General features: G+C 41.3%; 1 protein-coding gene across 4 annotated transcripts in view; it reads right to left on the minus strand.

The window, feature by feature from the left end:
• Positions 1 to 7047: 7047 nt before the first annotated feature.
• The window catches only part of GNG12 (G protein subunit gamma 12), a 131993-nt gene continuing 126576 nt past the window's right edge, over positions 7048 to 12464 (minus strand). For all 4 annotated transcript variants that reach the window (NM_018841.6, XM_047425406.1, XM_047425415.1 and 1 more), the window contains one exon: positions 7048 to 11149. In NM_018841.6, coding sequence (NP_061329.3) covers positions 11024 to 11149 — 126 coding nt within the window. In that variant the 3' untranslated portion in view covers positions 7048 to 11023. The remainder of the gene's footprint in view (positions 11150 to 12464) is intronic.

Genomic DNA, 12464 nt, shown 5'->3' on the forward strand with positions numbered 1-12464 from the left:
ACAAAAATGAAGAAAAAAGACATTGGGTTTTAGAGGCAGAAAGACTTGAGCTTGAATCCTGGATCCTAGCTGGAACTTGGGAAAGTTAGTGTAACTCTCGAAGCCTCAGTTATTTCTCCTGTAAAACTGGGGAAATAAACAAGGCTTATATCATCGGGTTATGGTGAAAAGGAAAGGAAACAATGCATAGAAAGAACCTAGCTCAGTTCCTAGAAGCAGTCAATATATGTAAGCTAATAATAATTGCATCTTCCATGAACTGGTGATTTTCTATGCCTGTTTATATTCCATTAATATTTAATTGTTCTGTTTGCAAATTAGTTATATAAGTAAAAAAAAAAAACCACCCAGTAAACTACATAGCCCAACATAACTGAATTCAGCAAGACACCATCCAATTAAATTATGTTAATTTTCACTAATCTAGTTTCCCCTCTCCATTTCCATTAACTTAATTTAGTTCTTTATCTGTCATTTAGGCTATCAGAACAGTTTCTGTTCAAAATCAAGGTTGTGAGAACATAAGTACCGTGTATCAAGTACTGTGCTAGAGCTTGCTCCATAAAGATGATTGTGACACAGTTGCTACATGCAGTTTGCTATAGGAACTATAGGAAGCTGACAGACACACATAATTTTCAAGCCAGAGTGGTGTCACGGCAAGCATGGGTATGCACAATGTGTGTGTGTGTGTCTGTGTGTGTGTGTGTGTGTGTGTGTGTGTGTGTGTGTGTAGGGGGTGGTCAGGAAACCTTCCAGGAGAAGGTGATGCTTGATGTGACTCTTGAAGAGCATTTAGGAGCTCATTGGGGTGAGGGGTGTGGCATGTGTGGGGCTCTGTGGTGTTTGTTAGGGGATTAAGTATTTAAGGAAGGGAGTGGAGAAAGGCAGGCTGAGGAGGTAGACAGAAACAGATCACAGAGGATGTAAATAGGGGGTGGGGTTGGAGGAGAGTGATAAGGGTTTGGAATGGAAAGGAGTTGAAGAACTAATAAAAGAATAGTGAATACCACCCTCCACTCCCTACTCCCCACAGAAATTAGAAACACGACCTCCAGTTTTTCTTCAGTAGTTTATTTTCCTTGTTCATTCTAATTATCTTCATGTCAAGACCATGCTTAAAAATCTCTTACCGGCTGGGCACGGTGGTTCATGCCTGTAATCCCAGCACTTTGGGAGGCCGAGGCGGGCGGATCACGAGGTCAGGAGATCGAGACCATCCCGGCTAACACGGTGAAACCCCGTCTCTACTAAAAATACAAAAAATTAGCCCGGTGTGGTGGCGGGCGCCTGTAGTCCCAGCTACTCGGGAGGCTGAGGCAGGAGAATGGCGTGAACCCGGGAGGCGGAGCTTGCAGTGAGCCGAGATCCCGCTACTGCACTCCAGCCTGGGCGACAGAGTGAGACTCCGTCTCAAAAAAAAAAAAAAAAAATCTCTGAACAACTACCCTTCCCCCCATATAATTCAGTACAAACTCTTGGCCTTTGATTATTTGACCCAACTTTCCTTCCCAGCCTTGTCCACATTCTCATTCCCATACTTCCGTTGCAAAGATCTCTGTTGCTCTAACACTCCAGGCTTCCTTAGATCTTGGGGCTTTTGCATACACTATTTTTCACTGCTGAGAATATCCTTTCCCTATTCTTTACCAACAAACTCCTACTTGTTCTTCAAAGTTCAACTAATATATTATCTCTTCTATGAAATCTTTTCTGACTCATTCAGACAGAACAATTTCTTATGATAGCATTTACCATATTGCATAGCAATTTATCTGTTTATTTCCTACTGCCCCTGCACCTGTTACTCCCACTCCCACTATCCTTGTGTTTTCTGGGTTTATCCTAGGACATACCTACCACAGTGCTAGTAGGAGCTCAACAAATAAATAAATTTCTCTTTGTTCTGTTTCTATAAACCAAACGCACTGTCATTCATATTTAATGTTTGAGTGGGCTATTTTTCTTTTTGTAGTTATGTTTTATGAACTCATAAGGTGCTACTGACACTTTAAGTTTGTTAAAGAACTTTGCTCCTTAATTCTATTAGTGGTAGGCTGTCAATATTCAAAATGCTTTTCTATAATTCATTTTTCCTTAAAATTCTTTATAGACCTGTTGATGAGCCAGTAGCTGAAGTATCAGGAGGTGATTCTTTAAATATCTTTTAAATACCTATAATTATACACAACAAACCCACGTGCCCTCCTCTGGCTCCATACGCTAGACTTTGGTTCTTCTCCTGATTTTCAATTCAAGGAGGAAAATGTACAATGACTTGGGGTGGAGATGGCAAGAGGGTTGATCTCCTCTCAGATTTACAGATTTATATACAATTTAAAGCTAGAGGAAATGTTAAAAATTACCTAGCCTAAATCTTTTTTTTAAAAGTGAATGGGGAAGTAGAATCAGAGATCATAAGTGTCCTAAGGTTGCACAGTAAATGAGTAGTAATCAGTCCAGAACATGCATTTCCTGATTCCAAGATACGTATTCTTTCTCTTACGTCACACTGGCTACCCTGAAAAATGGTTTTCTGAAAGCATATCCAATATACTTTTGGATCTCTCCAGGCTTCTATTTCCTCATATGTAAAGTAGGAATAATAGGAGTAGCTGTTTCCTGGATTTGTTGTGAGAATTAAATGAATTAACAGATGCAGGCCAGGTGCGGTGGCTCATGCCTGTAATCCCAGCACTTTGGGAGACCAAGGCGGGTGGATCACCTGAGGTCAGGAATTCGAGACCAGCCTGGCCAACATGGTGAAACCCTGTCTCTACAAAAAATACAAAAATTAGCTGGGCATGGTGGTGCATGCCTGTAATCCTAGCTACTTGGGGGGCTGAGGGAGAAGAATCTCTTGAACCTAGGATGCGGAGGTTGCAGTGAGCCCAGATCTTACCACTGCACTCCAGGCTGGGCAACAGAGCAAGACTCTGTCTCAAAACAAAAACAAAAACAAAAAACAACCACCACACCCCCACCAAAAAAAAAATAAACAGATGCAAAATGCTAAGAACAGTACCTAGTCATAGTAAATGCCTGAAATATAGCACTGTTTATTCTTAAGGCCCAGGGTATTACACTCATGATTAGTAAAGGACTTACTTGTTTACCTTACCTTTTACTTAATCTAACAATTACCAAAGTTACTGTTTGTTTGTTTTCCCTTATTCAAACCATACTACAAATATTAAGATAGTCCATGGGCTGTACAATCTGCCTGGGTGTATGTTCTTAGGACCCACCCTTTTATGTTGTTGGATCTAGCACAATTTTCTTAACTTCTCTGAGCCTCAGTTTCCTCATCTGTAAGATGGGGTTAAATCACATCTACTTTCCTTTAAAGAGTTGTTTTGAGGCTTCAATGGGAGAACACATGCACAATGCCCAGCCTAGTGTCTGGAGTTCAGTGTTCCTCATTGCCTTGCACAGATGTCTACAAATGTTGACAGATGTTGCATGGCCAGTGTTGAAACGTACATACCTCACCAAGGTCGGATCTAAAATGTTTATTTAGAACAAAGCACTTCTAGTGCATTGGCCATGGGAAAATTTTTCAAGGTTAAAAGTAGAAATGTGAACCTGTCTGCTTTACATGGGTGATTTTTTTTTTTTCTTGAGACAGAGTCTCACTCCGTCGCCAGGCTGGAGTGCAGTGGTGCAATCTCGGCTCACTGCAAGCCCCGCCTCCAGGTTCGCGCCATTCTCCTGCCTCACCCTCCCGAGTAGCTGGGACTACAGGTGCCCGCCACCACGCCCGGCTAATTTTCTGTATTTTTTAATAGAGATGGGGTTTCACCGTGTTAGCCAGGATGGTCTTGATCTGCTGACCTCGTGATCCGCTCACCTCGGCCTCCCAGAGTGCTGGGATTACAGGCATGAGCCACCGTGCCCGGCCTACATGGGTGATTCTTGGAGCTGATTCCCAAAGGGGATGCTTGTCTTTTTACTTGCTTGTATTGTAGGGCTTCATGACAATTTTTTCCATATCCAAGTCAAAGGCGTGCTATTACATACTTATATTTTAAAAAATACAAATTGGCTTACTTTTTATTTAAATCTATTTTAGAAGGAAACTTTCTATCACAACTTGTGCTAGTTCTGGTTTTCCTAATACATATAAAACTACACAATTAGTAAAATGTTAAAAAATTAACATGTGTATTACCTAAATCTCACATGCCAACCTTTACTTAAGGTCGGGGACATTAATGAACAAGTCCGTCAGTGCCTGGCTTAGAGGAGGTAGCACTGCCCACATTTGTTCAGGGAGTGACTGCTTTAGGCTTGCCCTAGTACACAAATTTATGGATCCATAGTGCCCTTGTGATGTCACATAGTTGGCGAATGTCTTCTGTTAGGACCATATTTAAGGTCATTTAGCGGATAATGCCCTCCTATCACTAAGCAGGGTGTATGTGTGGAGGGGTGGGAGGTGGTTGGCTCTAGAGATCACAAGTAGTAACGTGGGGCCGGGGCAGTGACTCACACCTGTAATCCCAGCACTTTGGGAGGCCAAGGTGGGTGGATATCCTGAGGTTAAGGGATTGAGACCAGTCTCACTAACATGGCGAAACCCTGTCTCTACTAAAAATACAAAAAAATTAGCCGGGCGTGGTGGCACATGCCTGTAATCCCAGCTACTTAGGAGGCTGAGGCAGGAGAATTGCTTGAATTTGGGAGGGGGAGGTTGCAGTGAGCCGAGATCACACCACTGCATTCCAGCTTGGGCGACAGAGGGAGACTCGGTCTCAAAAATAAATAAATAAATAAATAAATAAATAAATAAATAAATAAATAAAAATAAAAAGTATCATTGTGCACATAGATGTCTCAGCTGCAAATCTCTTGGACTTACAAACCTGGCATCTTCCATTATGGATGTCAACCATTTCAGTTAAGTGCTTTCATCATTCAATAGATTGTCTAGGAGGATTTAAAGGGTATAGGAATGCTTCATATGTACAATTAATTCTCAGTGATGCCTAAACTTTACTATGAACTTCCATTTCTTTGTGCTAAGTATCACTCTCTCCAGAGTTGTATTTGACAGTGCCAGTGGTCCTCCACAGGCCAATATATTAATTCATTTGCACATTAGCATAAATTTACTTGGACTGCATTTTCCTCCAGGGCAGAAAAAGTTTTTGAAAAAAATGGGCAATTGAGGTGAGGGTTCCTTTGACTAACTGCACGTCGCCCAGGGCTGGCCTAAAGTTAAACGACCTTCATGGATTTAAATGACTCAGATAAAGAGAAAGTAATTAGGGTAACAGAGGGCTCATCTGAAGGCAAAAGTTATTTGCTACTCACAGTGGTAAAGGGGTACAGTAGCAAATATGGTCACGCTCTGAAAACAAGCACAAGGCCCTAGCCATGCCAGGCTGTGCAAAGACAGCTAGAACTGACGGTGGGACCAGGCTCCACAAAGATGGTCAGAGGTTTTTTTTTTTTTTTTTTTTTTTTTTGAGACGGAGTCTCACTCTGTCGCCCAGGCTGGAGTGCAGTGGCGCGATCTCGGCTCACTGCAAGCTCCGCCTCCCGGGTTCATGCCATTCTCCTGCCTCAGCCTCCCGAGTAACTGGGACTACAGGCGCGCCCGCCACCAGGCTGGCTAATTTTTTGTATTTTTAGTAGAGATGGGGTTTCACCGTGTTAGCCAGGATGGTCTTGATCTCCTGACCTCGTGATCCGCCCGTCTTGGCCTCCCAAAGTGCTGGGATTACAGGCATGAGCCACCGCGCCCGGCCATGGTCAGAGTTTTAAGCCAACAGATTATAATCCTGGCATAGGGAATGAGGGACAAATACTCAAAAGACGGTCGCCTAGCCCCAAACAAGGATTATAGAGCCCCAAATAAAAAGGTTTAGAGGGAATATCCATGTGTTTATGTGTAACTGACCCTCGTGCCAGGGAAAAACTGATCATGGCACATATCCAGAAGAGGTGGAAAGCCCCATGACATGCATCTCCACACTGAGTTCCAATCACTACCCGCAGGCCTGGGTTTCTTGTCCATGTTAAGGCTAAGTATACATCTCATCTGCCTCTTCCAGCTTCATTACCTTCCCTTCCCCCATCTTTTAAAAACTCACCCCTACCCAATCCCATCCATCATCCCCAACTCTCCTCCACTGAGAGTTACAAGAACTTTGTAATTTGGTCAGAAGCAGTAAAAAGTGCTTGTTAGTTGTTGCCTCTTTTTCAAAACCGATGTATCTAAATCCTTCAGTCTTTTACTAGAAAGGGCCCAGGGACTGTCTTTTGCCCCTACCTTTTGTAAGTGTGGAGTGCTGGCTCTCAGAAGCAGGGGCCATCTCTGCAGCGTGTCCGGTTCATAGCCTGGGGCTTGTTGGCTGCCTCCCGCCCTTGTTCTTTGATGATTTTGCCCTCCCCTCATCTCTGTGGGAATCCCAGCCCTGGGGGAAGGGGCAGAAGAGGAGGCAGGGCACCTTCAGCAAACACATAGTGAATATGAGTCACCACCATCTAATGACCTTTCCATTTGTTATCAGTTTCCACTACCTCAGCTAGTCTCAGGATGGGAAACAGCCCTCCACAGGTCAGAGTCATTACGTCACTCCTCAGCAGCCTCTCTAGCTCCCCTGTTGGTTTCAGGATAGGCAAGCAGGATAGGAGGGCGGGATCGGGGGTCTTCTGCACACTGGCTTCCAGTCCTCTTTTCTCCTCCTCTCATCTCCTCCCAGGACCTCATTCCAACGCATACTGTTCTTCTCTCACTCAGCCCAAACATCACCACCCTTGGAAGCCTTTTTAGAGGTCTTTGTTGATGTGGAGCTAGTCCCTCTTTCCTCTGGGCTCTCACAGCACTCTGTGTTCACCTGAGTTATAGCACTTGCCACATGATACTACGATGATTAGTTTACATATCTGTCATTCCCATCCTCCTTGCTCAGACTGTGACATGGGCTGGTGTAAGTCTTATTCATTTGGGTGTCATGGGAGCCTGACTCTCAGCAGCTTGCTCTCAGGAGGTGCTCAGAAAATGTTAACTGAGTGAAGGAAGGGAAAGGGGAAGAGAAATGGTCTTTTATTCATTTATTGAGCAAAACACAAGTAGGATGATACAATGAGGCACTGACGCAGTACAGAAAGCAATGGTGCTTTTAATGAAACTTCTTTCAAATCTGTGAACATGCTAGCTGTGAAGTACATGCTTTTATTCTTTCCATAGGACATATTTCCAAATAATGATCACAGTATTATGGTTAATAAGATGCTGGACAGATGCGTAGCCAAAGAATATTACATAACAACAAAATCTCATCAATGATATATCAAATGCAAATTTACTAAGACATCAAGAGAATATCTGTTTGTAGTTACATGGCTAAAAACAAGACATTATTACAGTAACCAAGTCCATAAAACTAGAAAAAAAGCACTGTATAACAAAAAGGCCTTTTAGAAGCTATTAAATGAACAAACATTATAGATAAACCAATTTTATATCTGAAGCAGCTTATAGCACCAACACGTTGGCAGGACCAGCAGAGGGGTGGGGTCTTTGGACCAAGGCATCTGGGAACAGGAAGGGCTCTCAGCCATCATCTACTGCAGCCACTTGTTTTACAAATGGAGAAATAGAGGCCCAGAGAGATGAAGCGCCTTGTCCAAGGTCACACAGCACAGGACAGACTGGGAAATGATCCAGGGCTATGATCCAGGCCACTGACTTCAGGTAAGTGCTCTATTTTAACATACAGATATAAGATTCTATTTGATTTGATGTATTTTTTCCCCATTAACAGGTCTACCATAAAAGAAAGCAATAAAACCCATAATGTACTCTGGTATTGTATTTATTTCACTGAGAAATGACTGGCATGTACTACGATCATTTTGGGGGCCTATATAGATCTTACATCAAAATTCAGAGGAATTAGTCAGATAACACTATTTTAGTTATAAATTGAGAAGGTGGCATTTGAAGAGAATATTTGGCACATCCTCCACTACGTAAGCTACCCTATGCCTCAAAATTACTAAATCATTGGTATAAAGTTTTGGTTTTTTTCCTGATAGTTTAAAGATTAGTAAAGTACAAAAACAGTCTAAATAGAGAAAAAGCAAGTCAGGTCTTTCCTTTAAAAGTTAAGTATGGCACTTTTCATTTTAATAAGGTAAATGATTTTAAAAACCTGACATTTTTTAGAAGAAAAAAAAAAACTAGCTATGAGCCATCACTTGTGAACCATCTGGTATATAAAATATTTCCCTTATTTAAAAAATGTTTCTGTAAAATACTTCGGAGTCATGAAATCATGCCGTGGTCCTGAGGCCTCAACTGGACAGATTTATGATGAACTAATGAAGATATAAGAATGAAAAAAAGAAAGAGATCACTGTTAACAGAAGCAGCATTAAGGACAAAGTATACTGAATATATTGAAACAGCTTCATGGAAATGAAGCCAAGAAGTTGCATGTATATACGTGAGAAAGATTATCATTACAGTGGTAGTTGGAAAAAGTAACAAACACTGGGTATTTGTCTATCATTAACATAAACCAACTGTTGCAGACAGTTAAACTGTGGCTTTGTAAGGAGAATAAAGCCTGATAAAAAAAGTGACTTCTGCATATCATATATATGTATACATATATTTTCTCACATAGACGTCTAGTTATAAGTAAATCAACATTTAGCTACAACTTTTCCTCTCTTGGGTCCAGCATCAAAAGATTTGATATTCATGAACATGCCCTACACCTGGTTAGGAAGTTATGTATTTATACTCATAGCCTTTATTGTATCTGACCAGGGTGAATAAAATGAAATCTCCTGGGACCTCAAGTCCATTTCTTACCACTATAAGCATATTAACAGATATATATCAAAACATACTTGTTTACTGTTAGGTAAAAGAGCATGTTTCAGTACTAAATAATAAACTATGCCTGCTACCAATAACATGCACATAATGGTATAATAAAAGTAATTTTTCATGAAAATATTTTGAAAGAAGCTACATTATAAATATTTAAAGAAACGTTAAAAATCAGAGTGAAAATCAGATTAGTGTTCTGAAACTGAGTAGAAAAATAGACTTATAAAAAAAAGAATGTCTCATTAAGTGAAGCATTAAATGTAAAGTTGTCTTTTTAGTGTAAATTTCAAATCTCACCCTTTGAGAGGTAAAATCTTCCTCTCTCCTAAACAGGTACCTATAATTGATTTGGGAACTGGGCATATCGCAGAACGAAAAAGCAGATGACACAAGGCTAAGGGCAGTGCCGTGATTTTCACATGGCCTTAGAAAAGCGAGGGGCATTCATAAGGCTGAGTAGATAGCAACTTGGAGAAATACTGAATAAATGTGAGCAGTTTGAAAACAGTAATGCATTTGTCCACCCTAAATGAGCTAATACTCAAAGCCCAGACATTAGATTTTAAAAGGGGTTTGCTTTCCAGGACAGATTGTACAAAATTTGGGAAAATCGTTGTAAATAATTACTTCCTGGGGTTGATTCCTTTTTGAGGGGAAGTTTTTAACCTTTCCTTAGTAGTTACTTTTAATGAACTGAAGAAGAATTAAAGCATCAAAGGCCTAGTGTATGATTTGACTCCGAAGTGACCCTCTCTTCTACTTTGATAAAGTCAAGATACCTTATTGGCCATAGGAGATTCCTCCTTTTGGGGCTACCCCCATACCTGGAAATTCCAAGAGTGTGAGGGCTATATTTGGGCCCAGAGGAAAATCAAGGAACCCCATATCCAGCTGCTAAAGCCCTTGGGCCCAAGGAGTGTACCACTGAATCCAAGGCTCTCTTGGGTAGCCTATGTGCCTCTTGGATGGTATGTGAACAAGGTAGGGATGAAACTGCAGATGTCTGAAAAGAGCTTAAGCATCCTGACAGCTTGCATTTTTTTTTTAATTTTTTTTTTCCTCACCGTATTCCACATACCTGTGGCTGGGGAAGGTAATGTTACCTCTGCAAACAGATGCTCTGGTAAGAGAAGAAAGACACAGGGAAGGCAGAGAGAGCAAGACAGAGGGCTCAATCACAAAGCTGGGACAAGGAGAGCAGCTGTTTTTCACACATTCCTGCTCCTCTCTCAGCTGGGCTCATGTTCACTCCGTTTCATTCCAATCATCAGGGTGGAGATTTCAGAGGTGCCTATCCCTAATCCAGTAGAGAACATGAGCCCTGGGAGCACAGCTGCCTGGAGTCCTCCCAAGGGTCTCCTCCCCTTTTCCAGACTCAGCATCATTGAAGCCCTAACGGGTCCTTGTAAATTAATGTTTCATATTATCGAAGGACTGTCAGTTTAGTTTGGTACAGTTTATTGTAGCCTAAGAGGTCCAGCAAGATTTCAAGAGAGGAGAGATGATTGCATTACTTGATTACAATGAATACAATCTTTAGGATACTCTTTACTTTTTGTACAATAACGATATGAAAGGAATTTTTTATTCTACCTATACACAGCTCAAAATAAAGGTATAACTTCTGGAACTGAGAAACTGATGGTATGGAGAGAGGGACGTTTTCATAAGAAAATAGCTTTGATAAGTGTATACACAAAGGCATATATATATACACACAAACACCCCTCTCTCTTATATACTATACAGGCTGGCACACGCCTTATAAAGAATATAATATCAAGGCTTTAGGATTTCAATGAATTTTGGAATTTTAATTTGACAGGTGCTTAGGCCATTTAGGTCCTGACATATCGGAATCCCTTGTATTTCTAAAGTATATAATTATGTTTTTAAAAAGGCCCAGATCAACTTTCCTTAAACAGTAACCCAACATAAAGCCATAGTTACCAAGTGGAAAATAAGATTGTTATTCTGTATTAAATCAGTAAAGGGTATTTTAAGAGAAAGGACAACTTGGAAAATAGAGACTTCAGAGTCCATTATTCCAAGCTGAGAACATTTTAGTTATTAGCAGTGGTTACCAAATAAGCTGAAGGTAAATCTCTTCAAGGAGCTGCTCATAATTTGCGTTGTTGGGAAGAGGCGAGGAGCTGTTTCTCTATTCCACTATAAGATGATGCAAGTTTTTTTATCCTTGAAAGGGTTTTCTGAAGTTGGTATTCCTATCAGCAAAGGGTCACTCCTGGCATGTTCCTCACAGTAGGACATGAGGTCCGCTGATGCCTTCGAAACCTGACATGGAGATAAATCAAACAAACAAGAAAGAAAATATTTTACTTGCACACTTTCAGAGCGTATTTGAATGCTAGGCTATTGAATGGAAGACTGATTTGAACAAGATAATCAGAGTCTCAAAGCATCACTCTCAGATTCTTGTCAGGTATAAAAAGGAAATGGTACCTTTAAAATGGTGCAATTTGGCAGGTAAGGTCTTTCTTAACCAAGCAACTTAACAATGGTCAGACAAACTGGCACCATGTATCCCTTCATGGGAGTGCTGAGGACACACCGCCAGCTAATGAGCTAGCATTCCTGTCCAACATTGAACTGGAGTCCAATCAGCGAACGATCACACCCGAAGTGAGGGTGATTCTGCAAAATAAGTGGCCTGGATTCTTCAAAAATGGACTGTGTGTGAGGTATTCTTATTAGATAATCCTGAACTGCAAATAACTTTCAAGGGTTTAAAGAAGACATTATATATGTTTTGTGTGTATGTGTGTACAGACAGAAGGAGGGAGAGAGACAGTGCAAGCAAGTACATGTGGTCAAATGTTAAAAACTGGTGAATCCTGGTAAACGGTTTATAAATGTTTGTTGTTACAACTCTTCAGCAGGTTTGAAATGTCTCAAAATAAAAAGTTAGGGGCCAGGTGAGAAAAAGCATATGTGAATCAAGGGAAGGTTGTATCTTAAATTCTACCCAGAAAAAAACAGATTGGAATGCAGAACACACTTTAAGAACTGAACGATGGGCTCGGAGCCAAAACTCTGGAGCCAAGTTGTGGAGCTTCAGGATTTACTGTTAGAGATTGGGCTTGCGGAAGTAAAAAGAGAGACGAAACCAGCATGGGAAGAGGCAGTACCTTACTCCCGCATGAATTAAACACGGAAAATATCATGCCCTGTTTCAGAAGTCTGGGAGGGAGATCCTACAGAATAGGATCTCTTTGCCCTAAGCAAAGAGCAATGGGGCAGCTGAGCCCTGTCTAGCACAGCCCAGATAGCCTCATGCTGGGAAGACAGGTGACTATCTCCAGGCCCAGAGGAATGGATCAAGTGATTGCTTCAGTTTCTTTTTTCTTTTCTTTCTTTTTTTTTTTTTTTTGAGATGAAGTTTTGTTCTTGTTGCCCAGGCTGGAGTGCAATGGCGCGATCTTGGTTCACTGCAACCTCTGCCTCCTAGATTCAAGCAATTCTCCTGCCTCAGCCTTCCGAGTAGCTGGGATTATAGGCGTGCGCACGCCACCGTGCCTGGCTAATTTTGTATTTTTAGTAGAGACAGGGGTTTCTCCATGTTGGTCAGGCTGGTCTCGAATTCCCAACC

The sequence above is a fragment of the Homo sapiens genome, chromosome 1, assembly GCF_000001405.40.
Source record: "Homo sapiens chromosome 1, GRCh38.p14 Primary Assembly".
Lineage (NCBI taxonomy): Eukaryota > Metazoa > Chordata > Mammalia > Primates > Hominidae > Homo > Homo sapiens.